Here is a 26,443-nt window from a genome sequence, read left to right on the forward strand (position 1 = left end):
TGGGATTACAGGCATGAGCCACCGCGCCAGGCCTATATATCATTTATATTTTTAAAGTATTTGGGAGGATGTACATAGGTTATATGCAAATACTACACCATTTTATAGAAGGGCCTTAAGCATTAGTGAATTCTGGTATAACTGGGGGTCTTGGAACTCATCCCCATGGATATTCAGGGAAGACTATATAAGTACCATCATTTTGAATGGCACCATGGTATCACACTGTATGGATACACAACATAAGAATAGGTATTTTGGTGTCTACAGTTTTTCAACACAAAAACAATACCAAAAAGGAGGCCATAACGACACTGTTGAATACATTATCTTTTTTTTTTTTTTTTTTTTTTTTTTGAGACAAAGTCTCACTCTGTCGCCCAGGCTGGAGTGCAGTGGCACAATCTGCACCCTGCAATCCGCACACACTGCAACCTCCGCCCCCCGGTTCAAGTGATTCTCCTGCCTCAGCCTTCCAAGTAGCTGGGATTACAGGCGGCCACCACTATGCCCCACTATTTTTTTTTATTTATTTATTTTTTGAGACAGAGTCTTGCTCTGTCGTCCAGGCTGGAGTGCAGTGGCGCCATCTCGGCTCACTGTAAGCTCCGCCTCCCGGATTCATGCCATTCTCCTGCGTCAGCCTCCCAAGTAGCTAGAACTACAGGCGTCCGCCACCGTGCCCAGCTAATGTTTTGTATTTTTAGTAGAAATGGGGTTTCACCATGTTAGCCAGGATGGTCTCTAGCTCCTGACCTCGTGATCCGCCGCCCGCCTCGGCCTCCCAAAGTGCAGGGATTACAGGCATGAGCCATTGTGCCCGGCTGGTGAATACATTATCTTTACATGCCTTTTCGTGTGATAAAGTCCCACGGAATGACTTGCTGGGCCAAAGTATATAAATACATACATACATCTATGCATGTCAAAGACCAACTCATTTCCTCAGACGCCCATTAGATGGCTACACCAACTGAAATTCCCAGCAGCAGCCTGTTCATGGAGTGCGGCTTTACGCGCATTTGAAGAACCAGCTTAGGTTCTACTTGTTACAATACAGGCTCTATTTCTTTGGTCTGGGGTGCGGCCTGGGAGTCTGCATTTCTAACACATACCTGCGTGCCACCAATCTTGCTGACCCATGCAGCACACTTTAAATGGGAAGGCATGAAAATACCTTTTTCCCTCCCCACCCACCAGATGCCCTCAGTCTTGTCTTATAAGATGACGATGACAATTTTATTCACAGTTGGTGGTTGCTGGGCAGGCCACATGTCTGTCTTGTACATTTATAAGCCACCTATGTCCATTTTTATGAACTGATTATTCACTTCCTTTGTCTACTTTCTACTGCCCTTCTTATAAAGATTTAAGAACTTTTTAAAAAGACACCTGTGTGAACAGTTCCAGTCTCCTGAACAGCTGGCTGAGACAGGATCTGCCGCAGTTTATCCTGGTGGGAGAGCAGCGCCCGACCTGCTTTCAGGATGTATAGCTTCAACTGCTGGCACCGCAGCAGGTCCAGGTCCACTTGTCCTGCGGAAGGAAAGACTCAGTGAGAAGGGCGTGCCCTGCTCAGACTCCCTCCTCGCCAGCAGCAAGCCTCCGCCACATGGCGACGAGTAACGCTCTGCCCTTCAGGAATCTGCCGACCGCACACACTGTCCGTGACGAAGGGCTTGCCTTTCCCAGAGTTACACTCGGTGCTTCTGGGTAAGCATCTTCTGCCTCCTGGGTCTTCCTTCCCTGCTCTCCAGGCACCTAACTTGATAGGACGCAGGATTCAATGGGTTTAACACGGTTAGAACCATGTTAGCTACTATTAATATGATCAAATGTTCCCCAAGTTGCTGAAGTTTCAGCCGCTTTCACTCTTCTTCTAAGACTCCTCTGAGAGAATCTGTCAGCCCCACTAGCTCTTTAACTGATGAAGATGGCAGCAATGCCCAAGGCTTATCTGATAGCAGAGGCCGCAGAAGCAGCACAGAGAGCATGGGGTGGGAAGGAAGGAGGGCCGCAGGTGCCGCTCGGACACTGGCTCAACTAACTGGCAGACAGGTTTATTCACCACGATGGGAAACGGCAGCTACTAGAGAAAGCCAGCTGAATTTCGGACATGTGGTGATTTGCATGCACTGCACCTCCAACCAGACATGTGAATGGGAGATCCAGAGTTGAAAGTGCTTACATCATAAATGCTGAAGCAGCAATCGTAGGTCTGTGGGAGCAAGAGGGGAGAAAACTCAAGAAGAGTGGGCAGAATACGCCATAGTTACGGGTGAAGCCACACAGACTTCCAGGACATAAAGAATGAGCAGAGAGAAGAGCTCCCTAGAAACATGGAAACAAACTCAGGAGAGCCGCATTCTACAACCGAAGGAAGGCAAAGCCAAGCCAGGCTACAGTCACAGTCTTAGCCATCCTGAATGTCACAGGCAAGCCAGGCGCTTCCGGGACAGAGGCCCCTGGATCCGGCAGAGAACAGGCTGTGAGCCATGGTCCAACAGGGTGACTGGGCCACAGGGCCCTGGGATGGAGAGGAGGAGGGAAGAGGTGAACACAGACTTCTCTTCCGGGATAAAGGGTGACACGGAGAAGAGGGTGTGAGCCATGGGGTTCTTCAAGTGTGGCTCCGAACATGGCGACAAAAGCTGACTCGAAAATACTCATTACCACGAACACAGGGTTACATTCCCAACCGCAACTCAACAAATGGTGAGCCCACGTGAACCCCAGGACTTTAGTACGTCCGTGAATTCACTCATAAAAGAACACTGTACAAACGACACGAGTTTAAGACGGCAGCTATTTCATCAAGAAGCACCATGTACTGACCTGCAAAGGCCTGTTTAGTCGATTTCTTTATTTTGTGCTTTTCTAACTTGCTTCCAGCGAGGTTCACCAACTGAGCCCAGACAGACAGCATGGGCTCTGTGAAGGGCAGGTTGTTCACATTAAAGGCCACGGCAGGGAGCTGGAGAGGACACAGAAGCTGTCAGAGTGTGGCCAATACGACTAACAAATGAAACGTTCTGAAAGTCATCAAAACCATGGGCTTAATCCTGAAATGCCACACATACCCGTAAGCCTTTTATAGCTGAGAATAATCATTTTTTAAAATGACATTAAAGGCAGGATAGAGATTTACACATATAATAAGTATAATCTATATTAATTTTTCTTTACAAACCTGTCAACAATAATTACATCAGTGTGGTGGTTACTATCTTCTCAGATATTTTCTATATACTTCAAGTTTTCTACAACGTGTATATATTCCTATAATAATAAAAAAGAGTACTTTATAGAAAATATAGTCAGGCCAGGCACGGTGGCTCACGCCTGTAATCCCAGCACTTTGGGAGGCCGAGGCGGGCGGATCACCTGAGGTCAGGAGTTTGAGACCAGCCCGGCCAACATAGTGAAACCCCATCTCTACTAAAAATACAAAATTAGCCAGGCGTGGTGGCACACACCGTAATCCCAGACACTCAGGAGGCTGAGGCAGGAGAATCGCTTGAACCCGGGAGGCAAAGGTTGCAGAGGGCCGACAACATTGTGCCATTGCACTCCAGCCTGGGTGACAAGAGCAAGACTCCATCTCAAAATAAAAAAGAAAAAGAATATATAGTAAGATTGCACTTGGGCTACATCAAAATAATGTAAATGGCTCCTTCTCCCTGTGCATCCTTGATTCACAGATTAAGATGACAGTAGCTGCTACATTAAGTCACGTCACTCAAAACTACTAAGCATTTTCTACATGAAGAAAGGCTGTTTTTTTAAAGGTGTTTAAACATGTTTGTTTTTTTAAAACTTGAGTTGTTGAATAAAAAGTAAACTTCATAAATTCACATTTTAAAATAATTAGAACTACCTCATAGATGCACGGTACCTTCTAGGTTGCTAAAGCCCTCTTCGTGTCTCTGAGGCTGAAATACACACGAACCACTGCTTTAAGTGCCCTGTGAGACAGGCCCTGCTTACCACAGAAGCACAAGCTCACACAGCTTCCTGGAAGGCAAACTTCAAGTACCAGAATCAAGTTCTTTCAAGTGCTGATGCTGGTGCTCGGTTCTAGTGTAAAGTCAATTTCCCTTATCATGCAGTAACTAAGCACAAGTTCACCTACTGGTTTCAGCTGATTCAATGGGCAAACGCGACACGTCCGCATGTCAGAGAACTGCACGGTGATTTTGCCCTTTGGGGTGATGCGAGTCACAGTGCCTTCTCCAAACTCATCGTGCATAACTTGACCGCCCAGGCGCAGGCGACCATCGATGCCTCCAATCACAGCCAGGACTGCCATGAGGCCCCCCACTTCAGGGTTCTCGGAGTCGGGGAAGTAGTCCTCTAACTGGGCCTAGTGCAGACCAAACAGCGAGCTCGACAGAGACACTCACGGAGCTGCCCAATCCCTACAGGTTCACCGTTGAACTAAATTAATTCTGAGAACACAAACCCACCCCTTCGGAAGGCCTTCCCACAAAGCTGTGGGTGATGGAGCGGAGCTGGGAGTTGATGTACTTGTTGATGAGCCCATTCCACTGAGTCAGGGAGTGCAGCGTGCGCAGCAGTGCCACCACCTCCTCCGCCAGTGTGCTGCTGTGGGTGGCAGTCAGCGAGGCCTGCGGGCGCACCCTGCGCCGCCTCAGCGTGGACTCTGAGGAGGAAACCAGGGGAGAAGCTGCTGCACCGCTCTTCACCAGGGCACAGGGAAAGGAGACGGCTACCCACCTCTAAGTGACGGCACTGCGCCGCTCTTCACCAGGGCACAGGGAAGGGAGACGGCCATGCACCTCTGAGTGACGGCACTGCGCCGCTCTTCACCAGGGCACAGGGAAGGGAGACGGCCACGCACCTCTGAGTGACGGCAGTACACCGCTCTTCACCAGGGCACAGGGAAGGGAGACGGCCACCCACCTCTGAGTGACGGCACTGCGCCGCTCTTCACCAGGGCACAGGGAAGGGAAACGGCCACCCACCTGAGTGACGGCACTGCGCCGCTCTTCACCAGGGCACAGGGAAGGTAGACGGCCACCCACCTCTGAGTAATGGCACGTCAGAGGAGCAGGTAGTGAGCAAGCTTCCCAAGAAGTCAAACAGCTTCTCCACGAGGCATTTCATGTCCCTCGCCCTTTCGGTCTTGTCCCATGATGGAAGGACTGCTTGCAACAAATGCACAGCTAAGATCTGATAAAAGAAAATTTATAACGACAAGCATTAAAAAAAATCTGATGAGGAAACTACAGATTGTTATTTTTTTATTTTTTATTTTTTTGAGACAGAGTCTCACACTGTCACCCGGGCTGGAGTGCAGTGGCACGGTCTCGGCTCACTACAAACTCCCACCTCCCAGGTTCAAACGATTCTCCTTGCTTCAGCTTCCTGAGTAGCAGGGATTACAGGCACCCACCACCAAGCCCGGCTCATTTTTTTTTGGATTTTTGGTAGAGACAGAATTTCACTATGTTGGCCAGGCTGGTCTCAAACTCCTGACCTCATTATCCACCTGCCTCGGCCTCCCAAAGTGCTGGGATTACAGGCATGAGCCACTGCGCCCGGCCTCTCTTTATTTTCTGTTCTCATAACGCAAGTAATCAAGTGAAAATTTTGAGATTCATTATTTTACAGCCAGGTAATTACACTCAAGTTGATTAGTGATTAGGATTGTCAGGAACTTTAAAAAAAGCAACATTACAGATGCATGTGTTTAATTTAAAAAGAATTATTTTTAGTTTAATTCTTAAGACAATTACACTACAAATTCTGTGAAGCAGATGAGTGAGTAGTTGCAGGATTTACCACTTAAGAGAAAAGCAGGTAAACTGAAGGTTAGCAACTTACCAATTATCAAGGACCTCTGCCCCTTGCCTCCAGAAAATCTACCCTGTCACTTCTAGACCCTTTCTGCACTCGTTACTGAATAAAGGCCCCTGACTCTGAAGGCAGGGAACTTCAGTACATGGAGGCCTCTCTCAGGGAACTGGTTTTGCCTGGCAGCACATTACCTGCCTCTGCAGCGAGGTGGCAGTGAAGGGTGCGTGCCCTTCCACGACCTTCATGAGCAGCGTGATCCACTGCGGGGAGCTGAGGGCGCCGCATACCTGCGGCGTGAGAGCGATGCTCCGCACAAACCCCAGCGTGCACCAGCTCCGGTGTTGCTCCCTGTACACCAGCCTGTTTGGAGAAGCTGCAGGAGGGAAAATAGACATGCTTGGTAACAAGTCCCTAAAGACAAATCCCTAAAGATATATCCTTATTTTTTTATCAACTTATTTTATTTTTCTAAAATAAGCTCCTTTACAAATATATTGCAGTTTGTAAATTAATTCAAACTAATTCAAAGTGAGAAGTGGAAGGCAGCTTTTAAGTTAGTTCAAGAAACATTTCTCAATTTTTCTTTTTTTTTTTAGAGAAGGGCTCTCACTGTGTTTCCCAGGCTGGTCTAAAACTCCTGGGTTCAAGTGATTCTCCTGCCTTGCCCTGCCAAATAGCTGGGACTACGGGCATTTTTAAAACCTTCTAAGTATGTGTAGTAAAAGTAGTTAGGGAATTTTAGCTATGCATTGTTTCTAGGCAATAGGAAAACCATCTATAATTCAAATAACAGTACTTTGCAACAGTGCATCTATTATATTTTTAATTTCGTGTTTTAAATATCTCCACAATCTTGCTTATATTTAATCTGCACCACTTAAATATTTTTTTTTTTTGTATTTTTAGTAGAGACAGTTTCCAATCCAAGTTTAATACATCTGCATTAACAAAATGAGTTTTTCACTAGGTTTACACCACTGGATTCTAGCACCAGTGGGCCCACCTCTGCTCCGCCTGGCTCCAGGACTCCACTACTCCCTGAATGGAGGCTGAGGCTTGGAGGCTGGGCCCCCTGAGGGACCCCGCCCACAGCCCCACAGGACCTGCTCTCCCTCCCACCTCCCCCACCCTGCCCTCAGCTATCCAAGCTTATGAGGACACCTGCCTTCCTTCAGCACACTCACATGCGCTCACACACACACACTCACTCTCACACCCTCATATGCATCCTCACACTCACACTGATACTAAGTTATTCAGACACACTCATGGGCACTCATACACCCACCCTCACACTTTCAGGTGCACTCACACCACTGTCGCAATCACTAACACACACACAATCCCAGTCACACGTATGCACAAACAGATGCAAGCTGACACACACTCCCATGCACTCTCACATACACTTACCCCTCCCAATGCATACAAAAACTCACATATGCACTCACACTCCTCAACACTAGTAACGACCGATTACTCACCCACTCACACCTTTACCCACACACTTTCTCACTTTGCACTCACACCTATACTGTTATAACCTCCCATTCACTGACACAAGCAAAATGCTCACATTCACTCACACGCATTCACAATAACATCACTCGTGCTCACACTGACACAAGGCACTCATACACATTTACACAAATGCTCGCACTCAATCGCACACTTACACACTTGTGCTGCCACCCACTCATACTTCCTCACACTCACCAACCCTCACTGACTTACACTGACTTACACTTACACTGGGTGTCTCATTCGCACACCCAGTAATCCCCTCACACTCACTCATGCCTCCCTCATGCTCACCCTCACACACACACTGGCTCAATGCACTGACGCTTTCACTCCCACTTCACCTGAATGTAGTCACCTGCCCACTTACATGCTCTCATGGACACACACCCACACAACCACATGCTACCAACACACCATCACACTTGCAACACAAACGCTCAGCCACTTGCCCATCGACCGCTAACACACTCACTCTCATCAATATGTGCGGACGCTCCAGCACACCACTAATACACGCATGCTCTCACACACACTGGAGGACGCCCACATACCCACCCACACTCACATGTGCTCACTCGCAGTCACATGCACACTCACCCCACTCCCTCAGCTCACATTTCTCATACTTACTCTCCACACAAACACTTTATGGATTAAACTGTGCCTGTCCCCCAACTTCACATACATTCGGAACCTCAGAATATGATCTTATTTAATGAGGTCTCTGTAGACGTCATTAAGGTAAGAATTTAGGTGACATCATGTTGGATTAGAGTCAAAGAAACTCAAAGAGTCCTTTCAGAGACAGAAAAGGACATGCAGAACACAGGGGCAGGGGCCATGTGAAGACGCAGGCAGAGACTGGCACAATGCGTCCCAACACCAAGGAAGCCTGGAGCTCCCAGAAGCTGGACAAAGTAAGGAAGGACCTTCCCCTAGAGCCTGTGGAAGAAGCATGGCCCTGCCCGCACCTGGATTTGGGACTTCTGGTCTCCAGAACTCTGAGAGAACAAATTTGTTGTTTGAGGCCAGTGTTATGGGTTGAATTCAGAATTGCAAAATTCGTATGTTGAAGCCCTAACCCCTATCGTACCTCGGCAGGTGACCTTGTTTGGAAATAGGGTCGCTGCAGCTGTAATCAGTTTGATGAGGTTGAATGATGTCCTTATGAAAAGGGGAGATTTGGAGGCGACTCACACACAGGGAGAATGCCATGTGAAGATGACGGCAGAGATAGGGGTGACACCTCTACAAGCCGAGGAACGCTAAAGAGACCAGTAAACTCCAGAAGCTGGGGCAGAGCCCTCAAGCAGCTTCCCCCTCACAGCCCCAGAAGGAACCACCCTTGATCTCAGCCTTCCAGCCGCCAGAACCGTGAGAATTTCTACTGTGTAAGCCCCCAAGTTTGTATACTTTGTTACAGCAGCCACAGGAAAGGAATCCACACACATCCACACCCACCCACATGAACACCCAGACACAAGCGTGCGGCCCCCAGCGCTGACTCCCTGGGCCCTCGATCTCTCATTCCATACATGTCTTGTCCGTCGTTCCGCTTTCCACTAACATTCGCAGCAGTCCGCATAAAGTCTTGGTGGCTTCGCTCTGCATGATCTCAGCATGAACTCCAGCAGACAGACAAAGAGTCTGCAGTAAGTTAATAGTGCTGGTAAACATCATTGCAGTGGGGTGAATGTTCCTTTCAGTTTGTTCGGCTTCTAAAAAAAATAATCAAAATTACAAATTATATTCCCAAGTAAAACTGGAAGATAGTCCTGCATATAATTCAACAGCTTTAATATTACATTCTTGTTTTATTGAAGACTTGAATTTTAGTGCAGTTTTAGGTTCACGCAAAATTGAAAGTACAGAGATTTATTTTTGTGTTCTTTTTTCCTTTGAGACAGGCTCTGTCTCCCAAGCTAGAGTGCAACGGCATGATCATAGCTCACTGCAGCTTTGACCTCGCAGGGTAAGCAGTCCTCCCACCTCGACCTCCCAAACTGTCATCTTTTCTGCTTTGGAAAGGGAAACAGATCTTTACAAGAAGAAAAGATGGAACTCAGGATGCACTAAACGTGCACCCTGATCATTTTCTGTTCCCATCTTCCTCAAGAATCTTTTAAATAATAATTCTCGAAACAACATTAGCATATAACTCAGAAGCAATAAATGATTCCAAGGTTTCACTTCTTTAGAAACACAACTTATCAAATGTCAAGCGCTGGTTTCTGATGAGCTGGCTGTGTCCTAGATGAGGACAAAGCACCGGCATCTGTGGAGTGGGGCGACCAGACGCTCATGCAGCCCGCTTGGCTGGCTTTGGGATGAGGAGATGTGTGGCAAATGAGGCCACCCTCTGCCGTGGGGCCACCCCTGCCCAGGCTCTGATGCCTCTGTGGGGAAAGGCCCCAGGCAGGGAGCCAGGCCTGCTTCCTGCAGGCAAGGGAGGCTGAGGGAGGAAGCAGCGACTGGTGTCAGGCAGCATGCTATAGGCTGGATGCTGGCGGCCAGCACCACATCCGCCCTCAGGGACAGGGTTCCAGGTGCCATATACATCGCTCCTAACAGGCCTACGCAGTAGGGAACACTTCTGCTCACACCTGAGGGACCCAGGCCCCAGAAGTGACGTGTCAAAGATGGTGGTATCAGGATCTGAGCTGTGTGCCCCGAGCCCAGACGGTGCGCTATGGCATAGCCTCTTCCAGCCCCCATACCACCTGCTCTCTAGTGAGTACACCTTCTAAGATCTCGTGCTCACTGAAATAGCCATTTCTGAGCCTGATGACACTGTAGCCATGGGGGGCACTGCGGTGCTTCCGGAGGCAGCCCCAGCCTCTTGGATGGTATTACCAAACCCAGCCATGTGAAGCTTCACATGTCTTTTAGGAACAGCTAAGAAATGTCACGAAACCTCCTCCCGCAACCTGGATCTCCACAGATAGGATCTAGCTTTCTTGGTCCACCCCTAAATTCTCACCTCTGCTTCCCTAGAAGCGATAAAGTGCTGACTAACTCCACATTACATGAAGAGTTCAGAGTCAGGGACCACAGAGGAAAGGTAAAGGCAGGTGGCAGGTGGGGTGTGCTTGGGCAGGGGCTCTCACTGGAGGAGGAGGCAATGGACCGAGACCACAGGGCAATTCCACCAGGCCTCGGCTCACTCGCTCAGACACAGGCTCAGCGCCAACCACATGAGACTCACTGGTGGTGCAGCTGCCCCGGCCTGGCCACCACATTCTCAAAGAGGGGCGGGTGCACACATGAGAGTAAAATGCAGAAAGTCAGTTCCAGCCAGATCGCCGGATCCCACAGCCACTCCACACACCTGCATCGGAGGTGCCTGGGAGCTTATTTAAATTGCAGGCTCCGAGGACAGAGCGCCAGCTGCAGGTGCGTCCTGACATCCCATTCTAAGGCCCAGATGACAGTGGTGGCAGCCAGCACCTGGACAGTTTGTGGGCTGCCTTGGACTAAACACCTTCCTGAGTCACCCACCAGAGTCATCCTCTGTGTCCGAATCCTCTGCTGAGGGCTGTGCAGCAGCCGGCAGCTCTGCCAGCTTGAGGTCGTATTTTCCTTCTTTCCCCATCCTGTAGGAGTTGGTGCTGCCTGTGTCCCACTGGACTCTTATCCATCCGTCCTCTCCCAGCTCACCAATCACGCGGCCTAGGCCTGGAGGAGGCCCATCCTGAGAAAGCCAAAGTAGAGATCAGTTAGGAGGGTGCGTAACCTGCCCTGGTCCTTCCATGGCTCCCAGCAGACCTCAGTTAGGAGGGTGCATGCCCTGCCCTGGTCCTTCCATGGCTCCCAGCAGACCTCAGTTAGGAGGGTGTGTGCCCTGCCCTGGTCCTTCCATAGCTCCCACCAGACCTCAGTTAGGAGGGTGCGTGCCCTGCCCTGGTCCTTCCATGGCTCCCACCAGACCTCAGTTAGGAGGGTGCATGCCCTGCCCTGGTCCTTCCATGGCTCCCACCAGACCTGTTAGGAGGGTGCGTGCCCTGCCCTGGTCCTTCCATGGCTCCCACCAGACCTCAGTTAGGAGGGTGCGTGCCCTGCCCTGGTCCTTCCATGGCTCCCACCAGACCTGCCACACAGATGTCGCCATATGCCACCCTGTCTGTCAGGGGCTGTCCCCAGACACAGATTTCACCTCTCCTACAAAATGTGTGCTTGCATCATTTTAAATTAAATGGCATAAAATAACGTGCTCATGCTGCTTTACCAAGGAAGTCGGGGAAATCTCATCTCAATGAGGATCCTCTGAGTCAATGCAGAGACAGGGCTTTGCAGCAAGTCCTGACCCCACAATCCCTCACGGGCCTTGCAAGAGCGGAAACCTGAAACAAGCACCAGCACCTCCACATTCCCTTTGCTTCAGTTTCCCCTGGGCCCCAGGGGGAAGCTCTGTCTCTCACTTCTGCAGGAGAAAGCTGTTTCTAGGATGGATGCTGTCTCCAGACACTGCTATTTCTAAGATGACTGTGACAAAGCCGGGGCTTACCAGCGTGGCTGAGAAAAGCCAGACAGACCATGGGAAGGTGAACACTGCCCTAACTTAGCTAGGGCTGTGGTAAGTGACTTCCACCTGGGGGCACCTGGCAGAGATTTAGAAGAGACCTGCAATGAGGGAAGATGGAAACGTGGCCACAGGCCCATGAAGTAGATCCCTAACTACTGGCTTCAGGGCACTTCGCAGCACATGGCCATCAGCCCACAGGGGCAGCATCTGGGCTTCCTGCCTCAGAGCCTTCACTACACCAACTTTCAGAATGAGATTTACTCTCTTGCTCACTCTCACACTCTTGTTCCAGTGACCCATCAAACTGAGCCTCATGCCAGTGAGTTTCCTGAAAAGAGCTGCCTCTCTTTCCAGACTTGATTCTGCTCAGATGCCCTACTTATGATTCCCTACTTGTGTTCACTCCCTTCGGCTGCTCGGGAACCAACACCTGTGTCATCAATCAACTGACACATCCTGGATTATTCCAATTTCCACCCACCAATATCGTACAGAACTGTGCAGAAGATAACTAATGTGTGGCTAATGTGTTCACATCAAATCTCTGAGTACCTGATCGCCCCATTTCCAGTCCACACCTCTCATGACCCTTGTTCCAATCTTCATCATGGCAGCCAGTTCTGGTCCTGAAACAGGGAGCTGCACAGGAGCCGTTTCCTTCCTTGTTTCTTCCAAAACTGTGGCAGAAGCACCTTGAGCAGAAGCATTCATATCTTCCTCAACGTTGTCACAACTGGGGCCTGATGGAGCGTCAAAAACAATAGCTGAGCCAACAAGTAGCTACAGTGTCCCCTTAATACACACAAAACATTCACAAAGTACTAATGAAGATCGTAATTTTGAACAATCCATACTATATGTTTTATCAATATAATATTATGAATATTTTACTGATATAGGATAAAAAGAAGATAAACGGAAGGATGAAATACATAAATATCCTAGGAAGATATAAAAGATATTAAAATGCTCAGTAAAGCTACTCTCTCTACTTCTAGGAATTACTCCCCCCAAAAAAGCAAAATAACTAAGTTAGAAAGATATTCATCATATTTTTTATTAATAGAAAAACAAAGATAACTACCTAAATATCTAACAGTGGGAAACTAACAAACTTTAATCATGGTTCTGTGCAGAAGACAGCTAACAGCTGGCCCGAGATACAACCTCAGACAGGGTTGCTGCAGGCTGGCCCTCGGCTGGAGTCTGGATCTCAGGAGGGCTCTCCCATTCCCTAGGTAGTAGGTGTGGTTCCCTGTGCCTGAACTGTCTGTACAAACAATGTGGTCTGTGCTGAAACCTGCTTTCCTTGTTCTGGAACTTCGTATGCGCCAGGAAGGGGGTGCCCGTGTGATCAGCCCTAATGGAAACCCTGGGCCTGGAGTCTCTATCCAGCTTCCCGGCAGACAGCACCTGACACAGCTCAGTGCCAGGGCAGTTAAGCTCGTCCTGTGTGGATCCTGTGGAAGCTTGTACCTGCTTTCCTCTGGACTTTACCCATGTCCTTTTTTCATGATTTTGCTCTGTGTGCCTTCACTGTAATAAACTATAGCCCTGAGTTCAACTACATGCTGAGTCTTGTGAGTCCTCCTGGCCAACCATCAAACCTGGGGGTGGTCTTGGAGACCCCTGACAATTGGTGCCCTGGGTGGCTACAGAGTCATCCATAGCACAAAACAGAAGCCGAGCTGCTGTCACCTGAGAGCAGTAAAACTTCCCAATGGATTTGAAAATAGGAGCGCTAACCCCAGGAGAGTAGGCTAGATTTTTAACCCCCCTTTTCCCACTTGCTAAACTGAGAGGGGGTAGGAGTGTGGTTCTGGTAACTCCCTTGATTTTAGTTTTCTCCTCCAGGTGGGCGGGAAAAAGACCCAAACAGTCCCAAAGGTGGGCTTGGGCGGACCAAAAAATGTAAAAAGTTTGTGTTTCTCTCTCTTCCAAGAGAGCAACAAAGGATATTCAATTCCCAGGGCTGGAGCAAAACTTTAGATAAACTAGCAGGGGAAACAGCCTTTCCTTTAGCCTAGCCGCTACTTTAGGGCCCCCAGGAAGGGGCCCCAAGGAAGGGACAGGAGTTGCATTCTAGGTGGATCTCCCAGGATCCCCTGGGCAGCTATACTGTTAACTCTGTAAAGACTGAATGTATTGCTAAGGACTTGAATAAATTTGCAAGCAAAACTGGGGGAATTTTTCATTTTGCATAGCTTTATGTTTTCTGGCTGTTACATGTGGATGTATACATTAAGCTGGTATAAAATATTATATGCTTATGATTTCTTAAATGACAAGAAGGATACCCTGATCAGGGCAGGCCGCAAATATAGACAGATATTCATGAGACACAACTTCCTTGCTTTTTGCAGCCAGTGGGCCAGATGAAATTTAAACACATGAATACTATCAACAGAACAAGTCCCCATACTTAATGATTTGTGCTGTGATTGTTACTTATTGGAACCTCTGGGAAAAAAGTAGACAACATAAAAAGGCCATTTCTCGATGGAGATATGCTTTTGTAATTTTTAAATGCAACTTTTGGTTGCTAATGAGGCCTCAAGAAATCAGATATAACCCTTACTAGATTATTATTTTCAGCTGTAATACACATATTAAAATATATATTTAACACAACATATAAATATATAAATTAAAAAATTATACACACACACACACCCACACACACACACACACAGAGAGAGAGAGAAACAGACAGACAGACAGACAGATAGATAGAAAGATTCCCCCCACCCCCAAGACAGGATTTCACTTTGTCGCCCAGGCTGGAGCCCAGGCTGGAGTGCAGTGGCTTTATCTCCGCTCACTGCAACCTCTGCCTCCCGGGCTCAAGCAATCCTCCCACCTCAGCCTCCCAGGTAGCTGGGACCATAGGCACACACCACTATGCCCAGCTAGTTTTCGTATTTTTTGTAGAGACAGGGTTTCTCTATGTTGCCCAAGTTGGTCTCAAACTCCTGAGCTCAAGCGACCCACCCGCCTCAGCCGCCCAAAGTGCTAGGATTACAGCCTGGCCTGATACATATTTTTGAATGGATTAATGTGAACTCTAAGACTGATGTGATTAAAAGAGCTTGGGAAAACCTTGCTTTTTCACTGTGACTTTGATAACTGGCCCTGCAGCATCTCAGTTTTAGCCAAAGAACACCACCATAAACCAATCAGATCTAATAGACATATACAGAACATCTCACCAAAAAGAGCAGAATACACATTCTTCTCAAGTATACCACAGAACACTCTCTTAGACTGACCAGACCATATGTTAGGCCACAAAGTCTTAAATTTAAACAGACTAAAATCATACAAATTACCTTCTCCAACCAAAATGAAATGAGAAATAAAAAAAAGAAAAGTGGAAAATTTACAAGTATATGAAAATTAAACAACACACAGTAAACAACCAGTGGGTCAAAGAAGAAATCACAAGGGAAATTAGAAAATACTATGAGATGAATGAAAACACAACTACCAAAACTTCTGTGCTGCGCCAAAAGCAGGGATGAAGGGGCAATTATACTATGAAAGTCTGCATTTACAAAAGATGATCTCAAATCAATAACTTAACTCTACATCTGGAAGAACTAAAAAATAACACAATAAAAACCAAAGTTAGGCCAGGTGTGGTGCCTCACACCTGTAATCCCAGCACTTTGGGAGGCTGAGGCAGGTGGATAACTTGAGCCCAGGAGGTTGAGGCTGCAGTGAGCCATGACTGTGCCACTGTACTTCGGCCTGAAGGAAAAGTAAGACCCTGTCTCAAAACAAAGACAAAAACAAAAAAATACAAAGCAGAAAGAAGGAAACGATAGAGATTAGAGCAGCCATAAATTAAATAGAGAATAGAAAAATAACAAAACCAAAAGTTTGGTTTCTGACAAGAACAAAAAATCTGACAAATTTTTGGTAAATTAAGAAAAAAAGAGGCCAGTCAAGGTGGCTCACGCCTGTAATCCCAGCACTTTGGGGAGCTGAGGTGGGCGGATCGCGAGGTCAAGAGATCGAGACCATCCTGGTCAACACGGTGAAACCCCGTCTCCACTAAAAATACAAAAAAATTAGCTGGGCGTGGTGGCGCGTGCCTGTAGTCCCAGCTACTCGGGAGGCTGAGGCAGGAGAATCACTTGAACCCGGGAGGCAGAGGTTACAGTGAGCCGAGACTGTGCCACTGCACTCTGGCCTGGCAAGAGAGCAAGACTCCGTCTCAAAAAAAAAAAAAAAAAAAGAAAGAAAAAAAAGAAGATGCAAATAACTAACATCAGAAATGTAAGTGGAGACAGTACTACCAACTTAAAATAAAAAAGATTATAAAAGAACACTGTGAACTACTGTATGCCAACAAATAAAATAGCCTAGATAAAATGGACACATTCCTAAAAACATAAATTACCCGAACTGACTCAAGAAGAAATAGAAAATCTGAATAGACCCGTAACAAGTAAAGAGATTGAATCAGTAATTAAAAATCTTTCAACAAAGAAAAGCTTAGCTGGTCAACTCTACCAAAGATTTAAAGCAGAATTGACACCAATCCTCAAACTCTTCTAAAAACAGAATATATGGGAACACTACCCAGTTCATTCTATGAGGCCATTATTACCCTGATAACTGTAAAACAATAAAATACTGCTGAAAGAAATTAAAGAGGACAGAAATAAATGGAAAGACATTCCACATTCAGAGAATGGATGTTAACATTGTTAAGATGGCACTATTCCCCAAAACAATCTACAGATTCAATCCCTAGCAAAAATCCCAATGGTCTTTTTTGCAGATATGGAAAAGCCAGCCTTGAAGTTCATGTGAAAATGCAAGGGACCCAAAGTAGCCAAAATCATCTTGAGAAAGAAAACACACTTCTCAATTTTAAAACAGTACAAAACTACAATGTTCAAAACAGGGGGTACCTGCACAATTATCAACATATAGAATGTGATAATGTAATTGAGAGTCCAGAAATAAACCTAAATATCCACAGCCAACTGATTTTTGCCAAGGGTACCCAGAACTTCAGGGAAAGAACAGTCCTCAACAAGTGGTATTGAAACAATCAGATCATCAAAAAAAACAGGTTGGACTCTTACCTCACACTGTGTAAAAGAAATTACCTAAAAATGGACCAAAGATCTAAATACAAGAGCTGAAACTATAAAACTTACAGAAGAAAACATGAGGATAATCTTCATCAACCTTGTATTTGGAAATGGCTTTTTGGATACGATATCAAAAGCATAGACGACAAAAGAGAAACAGATAAATTGAACTTCATCAAAATAAAAAACTTCTCTATCAAAGGAAATACAATCCAGAGAACAGGAGAAAATACCCTCAAATGATATACCTGATAAAGGTCTACAGATCTGTGAAGGTCTAGTATACACGAAATTTTTAAAGAGTCTGAGGACTGGTGTTAATTCTTCTTTAAAGGTTTGGTACACTTATATAGTGCATTTATTGGTACAACAACAAGGTGATGACAACCCTATTTAAAAAGGAGAAACGGGCTGGGCGCAGTGGCTCACGCCTGTTATCCCAGTACTTTGGGAGGCCAAGGCAGGCAGATCACCTGAGGTCAGGAGTTCCAGACCAGCCTGGCCAACATGGCTAAACCCCATCTCTACTAAAAATATAAAAATTAGCCAGGTGTGGTGGTGTGTGACTGTAATCCCAGCTACTCGGGAGGCTGAGGCATGAGAAGCGCTTGAACCCGGGAGGCGGAGGTTGCAGTGAGCTGAGATCGTGCCACTGTGCTCCAGCCTAGGCGACGGAGTGAGACTCCGTCTCAAAAAAAAGTAAAATAAACAATAAAGAGAAAGGGACTTGAATAGACACTTCTCCAAAGAAGATACACAAATGGCCAACAAGCACAAACATGTAAAGAAGCTCAATGTCATTCATCATTAGTGAAATGCAAATCAAAATCACAATGAGACACCACTTCACACCCACTACGATGGCCTTCATCCAAAAAAAAAAAGAAAAAAAAAAAAAACACAAAAAATAGTGTTGGCAGGGAAGCAGAGAAACTGGAACCCTGGAATCCTGCCCACTGGTGGTGGGAATGTAAAAATGATATGGCACTGTGGAAAACTTTGGTAGTTTCTCAGTAAGTTACACATAGTTGTACCATATGACCCTGTAATTCCAGTCCTAGGTGTATAATCAAAAGAACTAGAAACAAGCATTCAAACAAGTATTTGTATATAAATGTTCCTAGCAGCACTATTCACAAAAGTCAAAAGGCAAAACCAACCCAAATGTCCATCAACAGATAAATGAACAAAATGTTATATATTCATACAATGAAATCTTTTTCAGCCATAAAAATAAAGTACTGATATATACCAAATGAAATAACCCAGACACAAAGGCCACAAATGGTATGATTCCATTTATATGAAATATCCAGGATATGCAAATCCATAGACAGGGAAAGCAGATTTGTGACTACCAGGGGCTGGAGGGCAGAGGAGTGAGGACTGATGGCTAAATGGTGTGCATTTATAGTGATGAAAAAGTTCTACAACTAGACAGTGGTGATGACTCTAGAAAATCGTAAATGTATTTGATACCGCTGAATTGTGACGTTAAAATGGTACACTTCCTATTTGTGTCTTACCATAATTTACAAAAAGCTTTAAAAAAAAAAAAAAAGAAAAGAAAAGAAAAGAAATCAAAGCAAAATCTTGACATTTTCCCAAAGGCGCTCAAGCGGGTGCAGACCTACCAATCAGGCGCAGTGCCGTCTGCGTGAGGGCCAGCATGCCGGAATTGAGCAGAAGGTCGAGGTTGTTTGCGCCGTGCTGCAGGGTGAGCATGCTGAGCATCACCAGGAGGAAGCGGGCTTGCGGGATGGTCCCCAGGCTCGGTCCTGACGGGTTCTCATTGGTGATGGTTTGCAGGGGAACCGGCTGGATACCTAATGAGCATTGGCACCTACTGACATTTCTTGTGATGGATACAAGAATAAACGTAACGCAGAAAGCACGGGCGATTACTCTAAACATCTGACTATTTTGAAACCCACTGACATTTCTTCTGCATGGATGCAAGAATAAACGTAACGCAGAAAGCACGGGCGATTACTCTAAACATCTGACTAATAAGCATTGACACCCACCTACATTTCTTGTGCATGGATACAAGAATAAACGTAATGCAGAAAGCACGGGCAATTACTTTAAACATCTAACTATTTTCCAGGGGTTTCCACAGAGTGGGCAGCTCTGTCATGCTGCACGATGGGCCTACCCCCTGCATTCTATGCACAGGTTGTTCCATCTGTCTACAGGACTTAGCATGTTGCTCTCTGAATACTCTGGTGCCCTATTCCATTCCTTCCATTTCGAATATAAAAGTTATGTCTCACTTTTCCTCCACAAAACCAATCCAATCAACTCTCTGTAGATGCTCAAACTATCCAGGAAATAAATATTAATATAGGACACAGACACTTTAGGATATGTGGTGATACACATCAAAATGTAAAAATGTTATACTAGAGTACTTCAACATTGTGTCTCCTGCTAAATTTTGAAGTTTTGTTTAAAATCTGAGAAAGCTGACAGCAGCATAGATTATACAAGTACAAAGTACAAACTTTAATTAAAATCTTCTCAAAAGCAAAAATTGGCATTTGCAAGTTTCCACAACATATAATTAAAGGCAAACTATAAAATAACATTGATACAATTATTGACTCACCAAGCTCTTTAAATTTGGCACTGGCATCCATCAAAACATTTCGAATGTTCTGTACAGCCCAAGCGTACAGCTTGCCAAAGGTGACTTCCAGCAGCATCCGATTAAAAGGCGGGATCAAATCAACATCCTTTAAACAATCAGTAAGAGGTTCCCTTTCAAATAAAGATAAAGAATTTGACTTGGGACACTGCCAGACTTCTGTTACAGAACAACATTTTGTTGCCATAGCTACCTTAATTAAGAAAAAAATATGCTAACGTTTTACCCTATATCGATTCCCTCAGGAATAAGTCTTTGCCATCCACAAAACATCGCATACTGCACAGATGGAAGTAAGAAATTCTTGCTCGCCAGTTTTAAAATTGTATCTATCCCTTCCAGGCGAACCTCTGCTCTCTCCAACTGCAAAATATCAATGCATACAGTTAAGTGTTATGTATATTACCCAATGCAGAGAAGCATTTCTCATCAAATGTTACCTGTTTTAGTAGGCACTTTCTCATTTTTTCCACATCCACTGGCTCTTCTTTAAGGGCAAATTCAGCAATTGTACTGAGGAGTGGAGACTGCGGATAAAGACCCTGCACATTCTGCTTCAACCACTTGTATTTGTGAACACCTGTAACAGTACTCAACAGCGGCTGCCATTTGTCCTAACAAAGGAAAACAATTTTCATCATTAGTCTACCCTATTTAATAATAAACTGTGCTCTAAAAGTTATTCAAGTAAAATATAAATAATGCTCATAGGTTTAAATTGGTTAAATTTAGTAATACATGGTTTTAAAACTATGCTATAAATATACTTATAAGTGATTTTATAATCTCTATACTAATATATGTTGGAACAGGCTAGCTTGGCATACAAAGCTAAGTTATGGTTCATATTAATAGCCACAGGGCCCAGCACTGTTTCTGGAACAAAGAATATATTTAAGGAATGAATGGTGAATAATTAATGATACAATCTAATACCAAAAATAAAAGGAAACCCTTCTCCAGCTACAGCTCTGACCAGGACATCATAAGCCAAGTTCATGAAGCATCACTGGGGCCATGTTTCTAACAACCGCCCGTCCCTCCCTCCAGATGCTCAGGACAAGACTGTGGATTCCTGTGCTACATGCTATGATTCTATTCAGCCAACCTCAGAATCACAGAAAATACTGCACCTTGGGTGATTTAATTGCAATGGGTCTCTTGTCCACATTTATTGGACTATGAGGCAAAATGCAAGCTTCTTCTAAATCACTCTCTTCGTTTCCAATTTTTTCTTCATCATCCGTAGATTCTGGCTTCTTAGGAACTGTGTTTTAAAACATCATTCACTATAAAAATCATACACTTAAATATTAATTTTAAATTAAGAAATACTTAGATTTACATGAAGGACAAATATCTCATTCAAATAAACATCTGAACAACATTATAAATTGCAATGCTCAACAACAAGAGTGAAATGATCACCCTGGCAGAACAAAAAGACAAAGTGAGAGTGCGACGAGGGGAGAAGCCCCGAAGCACGGGAAGCCCGGCAGCCAGCAAGCTCTTCCTCAAGTGCCAGAGAGTGAACATTTGAGTCTTTCAGGCCATGCAGTCTGTCGCAAATACTCAACTCTGCTGCTGTAGCACAAAAAGTAACCACAGATAAAGCAACAGGTGTGGCTGTGCTCCTGTAAAACTTTATTTATGGTGCTACAATTTTAGCTTCATGTAATTTTCATGTGCCAAAATAATATACTTCTTTTAATTTTTAAAAAACAATTTCAAACTGAAAAAAAAAAAGGTCTTAGTCCATGGGCAACACAAAGCAAGCAAGAGGTAGAATTTGGCCCATAGTTCCTGGCTTGTCCACCCTGGTCCAGTTCAGTGGTTCTGTTACTGTGTAACTGAATCAACTGAATTCACTGCGATATGTGGAATTTCCTCCCTATACTTTATCTCTTTTAAAATTTTTGGTCTAAATCTCCTCAGCATATAATATAAAAAATAAGCAACATGATAATACACCTGGGCAGTAAAGAGCTAACATAGCAGGCCGGGGTTGCTCAAACCCTGCAAATTCCCAAGGAAGGTCTGTCCCTTCAGGATTGGTCCTTCTTCTAGGAGCTGAGCTCTGAGCCCTTGGAACATCCTGCCTGAGAAGTTTTTTGGTATACCTGACACCCAGGACCTTGTGGCAGTGGTCTGGCCAGGTAGTTTATGCTAATGATGGGACTTGCGAGGGACCACTTGTTTTTGCATTGGGGCACTGGAGTCTGAGTGAGGTCAGTCACATGGGCACTGCCTGCGTATGTGACTGGCCCCCAACAAAATCTCTAGACTCGCTCAGGTGCGCTGGCCTGGTTAACAATTCTTCACACATGATATGACACTGTTGCTGGGAGAGCTAAGCACATCCACGTGACGCCACTGGGGAGAGACACCAAAGCGTGTGCCTAGTTTCCTCTGGACTTCCCTCCATGCACCCTTCCCTCTGCTAATTTTAATCTGTATCCTTTTTGCAGTAAAAAAACACAGCTGTGACTATAACAGCTCTTCTGAGTCCTTTTAGTGAATCATCAAGCCTGAGAGAAGGCTCGGGGATCCCTGACACAGCAACAGGAATATTAATCACTTAATCTTTTCAAGTTACTTAATTTCCAAAAAAAAAAAAAGAAAACCAGCTTGAAACAACACACAATAAATCTATAAACCCACAGGAAACTCTAAAAGTGACAGTGTGGGCTCAGAACCCACGGATATGAGATGGCAAATGTGGAGTCTCTCTCCCTCATGCCGAGGCAGCCTGTCTCCTGGGCCCAGGCTGAGTTCCTGCATGCCTGGGTTAAAGGAATCGCAGCAGTGTGACTGCTGTGACTTCCGGATCCAGAGCACCCCTCGCATTCAGACAGGCTGTTATGGTGTAGGGTTTGTTCAGGAACAATCAAATTAGGATGGCTTCTAACACACTTTAGTCTTTCATAAGCTTATTGTTCAAAATGCCCATCGGAAACTCAGTAATCAATACTGGTCAATAAGCAGGTTTGTGAGTAAATCAGTATAAGTCATAAGAATATGATCAGAGGCCAGGCGCGGTGGCTCACGCCTGTAATCCCAGCACTTTGGGAGGCCGAGGCAGGCAGATCACGAGGTCAGGAGATCAAGACCATCTTGGCCAACATGGTGAAACTCCGTCTCTACTAAAATACAAAAATTAGCCAGGAGTGGTGGCGGGTGCCTGTAGTGCCTATAATCCCAGCTACTTGGAAGGCTGAGGCAGGGGAATCGTTTGAACCTGGGAGGCGGAGGTTGCAGTGAGCTGAGATCGCACCACTGCACTCCAGCCTGGCGACAAAGCAAGATTCCATCTCAAAGAAAAAAAAAAAAAAGAATATAATCAGAAATTTCTGTAGTTTATTTATAATCACAAGTGACTAAATTCTAAACTATTTTATAATTTCTAAGCATTTTTATTCAAATTTGGATTTAATGCAAAAAGACTTTTCTGTACCTTTACACAGCTACTTCCAGGAAAATGTAACTCTTTTAGCTTGCCTTTATAATTCTCCATGTATCAGAATACTCAATATTTCCAAACAAAAAACATTTCTTTAGAAGAATGGCAATAAGTTTAAATGTTCCCATTATATCTCATTACCAGGATAACTAATAAAATAAAAATACTTCCTTGTTCCCATCAATTTAGTAAAGATTATTTATGTTTTCAACATCAATTTACTAGTAATCAAATCATACCACACTCAATTCCTAAACTGTCTCATTGTCTGATTACTTGGAAAAACAAGCGAGATTTCTGTATTTAATCGTAACTGTAATAAAAATGATGGCAGCAGGTAGAAATGTCACATGGAATCAACAGTAGAGAAACTTCACTCTGAAATCACAGATCCAATGTGGCAGGGTGAAGCACAAGCTTTAATAGTATCTTCTGTCCTTTTACATTCTTACCTCTCTTTTTCCTTCGTTCTCGAATTATCTTTTGAGCTATCCTCCTCCAACGGGGCAAAGAACTTAACAATTTAAACTTAGACATTATAGAGAGGTCATTACAAACAGCAGGTCTCAATTCATTAAAGAGGAATCTCAAACGTTCGATGACAGGAGCGCAGACCTCCTTGTAAGAACGGCCCTGTTCTTGATGAGTCTGCAAAGTTAACCAGGAAAAGACAACTTTAACAACAAATATTTCAGCAACTGTCTGCAAAGCACAGAATAAAAAGAATTAAAATCTATCACCTTAATGAGCGAACATTTTGCTTGGTAGACAACTCTACAAACATCCACCACTGACTTAGGCAACGTTCTGTGCTTTACTTGCTCAATACCAAGTGCACCTGCATGAACTAAAGATAATGCCACATGACCTGTAAAAAGACATTTAAAAGAAGGGCAGGGATGAATATGTACCTCAGGTTAGTCGAGGAATCTGCAGTGTACCTAAAGTACACAGATATCGAGCTCCTTACCTAAATCTTCATGTTTTAAGAGGCAACATAACAACAAGCGACCGACCTCTTCCACGGGATGCTCGGGGGGAAACATGATCGGTGTGGTCAAATGGCACTGCCTACAGTACCTTTCTATTTGACACAAAAAGTCCTGCAACAGAAACAGCTGGAAGTAACTTCAGAGCCACCCAGTGAGTCTTCACAAATCTTAAACATGCCACAGCTTCTGACGCACTTGCAATCACTAATGCTTCTGAAGCCTCGCTAGCATGTTAACACAATCAGGTTCTCACCTCAAAACCCTCCAAATAATACATGAAACAAAGTCTGTGCTGTGTTAACCAAAGAGCACATAAGTATTCCTATGTCAAAGTCCTCAGATAAACAGAGCACTGAGGTGGCAGTGGGGGCAGGCCTAGCTCACCTTCACGTTGTGATCCTGAATGTTGTTGTCTGCAATGGCTTGCAGAAATGCCTGGGAATGGTCCCCCAGGGCCCGTCTGTGGGAGCAGAGTCGAGATTTGCTGGCAGGTGTGCCCCCTGGGGAGCTGCAGTGGTCCTCGTCTTTCTCCTCGTTGTAGCTGTAGTGGATCTGGCTGGTCTGCAGGCCTCCAGAGAAGATGGATGACTGAAGCCATTCTGGAAAATGCACACGCAAACATGAAAGAGAAACTCAAGTGCACAACTCAAAATAAATACTAAAAAAAAAAAAAGATGCTCAACTGAACACTCAATTTAGAAGGTGAAATTCAGCATCATTCATATGAAAGAGCTCCACCTAACATGTTTACACAGGTTGACTTATAATTCCTCTATCTACGTGAACACACTTTCTGGTGATTCCACACGCCTCAGGCATGGCATCAGAACTCAGGATCGTAGTTCCAGTCCAACATTCTCTGGATACCTGTGCTCTGCCTGCAGCTGCCTGGTTCCACAGGTACCGTGTGAAGACTGAGGTGCACATTCTAACAGGGAAGGCAGCAAAGGGCACCGCTGACACAATTAATCACAGGATTTCAAGTCCGAAACTGTGCAACAGATGACTATGGGGGTACCAGGGAGACTGGAAGACAGACCACCGCTATTCTGAGGGTCAGTGAGGGACTTGTGGAAGCAACAACTGAGCTAAGATGAGGAATAAGACCCAGACGCTGAGTATCCAGGCAGGGAACAGCACATCTGAAGGGTTTCTACAAAGAATTACATCCTCAGGGTAGGCTATGTATTCCTAGAGCACTTATAAAGGAATGAAAAGGAGAAAATATTTAAGAAACACACAATCTGTAATGAAGGATAGATCCTTGGAGATGGGAGGGCCGATGGACTGGAAAGGAGACCTGTGCGTGGTGCAAGGCATGGGATCAACCAGTGCGAACGTTAATTACAACTGCTTATGGCAACTTGAGGGAGTGCACCACTACAGATCTCTATTAACGATCTGTGTTATCAAATACTGCTCCAAATCCAAGCAATCAAAGCGGGATGCACTTAGTGTTCTTTTACTGGACATTTAGATTTTAGAGCACTCAGGAGCATTCCACAACCCACCACATTCGTTCTTCTGAAACACTAATCCAATGCCGACTCTCTCTGGCCCCCTCTCTTTAAGCACAGGACAGCCCCTCCTTACTGCTCCAAGATAAGCCTCTGATCCTCCTGTGGATTGGACCCACCTGCCAGGGCCCATGGCACCCTCTGCCCTGGAACTCGCCAGCCCTGCCCTCCTTGCCAATTTAAACAAAGCCCATCTTCTGGCAAGCAATGAGCCTTGAGGAGGAGGGAAGGAAGCAGATACCTCAGAGGGCACCACAGGCAGCCCAGCACCCAGCACTGCACAAAGGTCCACCCAACGGGGGGCTGTATGGACACCAAGATCCTCCTTCCCCGCAAGCCTTCTGCGACACCCACTCTCGAAAGCAGCAGGAGAGCCCTGCTCCTCTCAGCATTGCCCTTGACACTCCTGTGTTTTCTGCCCCGAATGCTCCCTCATGCAATTTCAGGACTGCTGCCAGTGTGAAGCCTTTCTTCTCCCAAAACCACGTATGAACGTCTCCATTTCACCATTCACCACCTTGTAACATGACCTGCTTAGAATGCTGGCTCATCAACAAGAAGCAGCTGAAAGCAGAGGCGTGTCCTACCCATCACTGCATCCTGAACACCTCGCATGGTAACTGCACCAGGCAACTGTTCAACAGAAGCTGCTCACACGGATGGACAGACAGACAGATGGGAAATGCACAACTATATGAAAGAAAATGTAAACCCATCTTAGGAGACAGGAAGAAACTTATTATTTTAGGTGGTTACAAAGGCTGCCATCCTGAAATATAACTGACTTGAGCCTGGTCTGGTAAAAACACAGTCCTCAAGTAGAATGCTGTTCCCTGAGAGGACAGCTGAT

At 45.4% G+C, this 26,443-nt stretch overlaps 1 protein-coding gene across 12 annotated transcripts in view; it reads right to left on the bottom strand.

Annotated features, from left to right (window-relative positions):
• HERC2 (HECT and RLD domain containing E3 ubiquitin protein ligase 2) overlaps positions 1 to 26,443 on the bottom strand; it is a 211,140-nt gene that overhangs the window by 98,570 nt on the left and 86,127 nt on the right. For 10 of the 12 annotated variants that reach the window (XM_006720727.4, XM_006720726.4, NM_004667.6 and 7 more), the window contains 18 exons: positions 24,461 to 24,675; positions 24,055 to 24,187; positions 23,825 to 23,952; positions 23,537 to 23,732; positions 20,758 to 20,891; positions 20,065 to 20,238; positions 19,851 to 19,987; positions 19,586 to 19,737; positions 18,609 to 18,800; positions 12,419 to 12,606; positions 10,843 to 11,035; positions 8,880 to 9,062; positions 6,012 to 6,193; positions 5,046 to 5,193; positions 4,467 to 4,663; positions 4,133 to 4,363; positions 2,836 to 2,974; positions 1,393 to 1,536 (listed from right to left, as the gene is read on the bottom strand). In XM_006720727.4, the coding sequence (XP_006720790.1) occupies positions 1,393 to 1,536; positions 2,836 to 2,974; positions 4,133 to 4,363; positions 4,467 to 4,663; positions 5,046 to 5,193; positions 6,012 to 6,193; positions 8,880 to 9,062; positions 10,843 to 11,035; positions 12,419 to 12,606; positions 18,609 to 18,800; positions 19,586 to 19,737; positions 19,851 to 19,987; positions 20,065 to 20,238; positions 20,758 to 20,891; positions 23,537 to 23,732; positions 23,825 to 23,952; positions 24,055 to 24,187; positions 24,461 to 24,675 (3,066 nt within the window). The other 2 variants (XM_017022697.2, XM_017022698.2) reach the window with 2 other exon arrangements.

The sequence above is a fragment of the Homo sapiens genome, chromosome 15 (assembly GCF_000001405.40).
Source record: "Homo sapiens chromosome 15, GRCh38.p14 Primary Assembly".
Classification (NCBI taxonomy): Eukaryota; Metazoa; Chordata; class Mammalia; order Primates; family Hominidae; genus Homo; species Homo sapiens.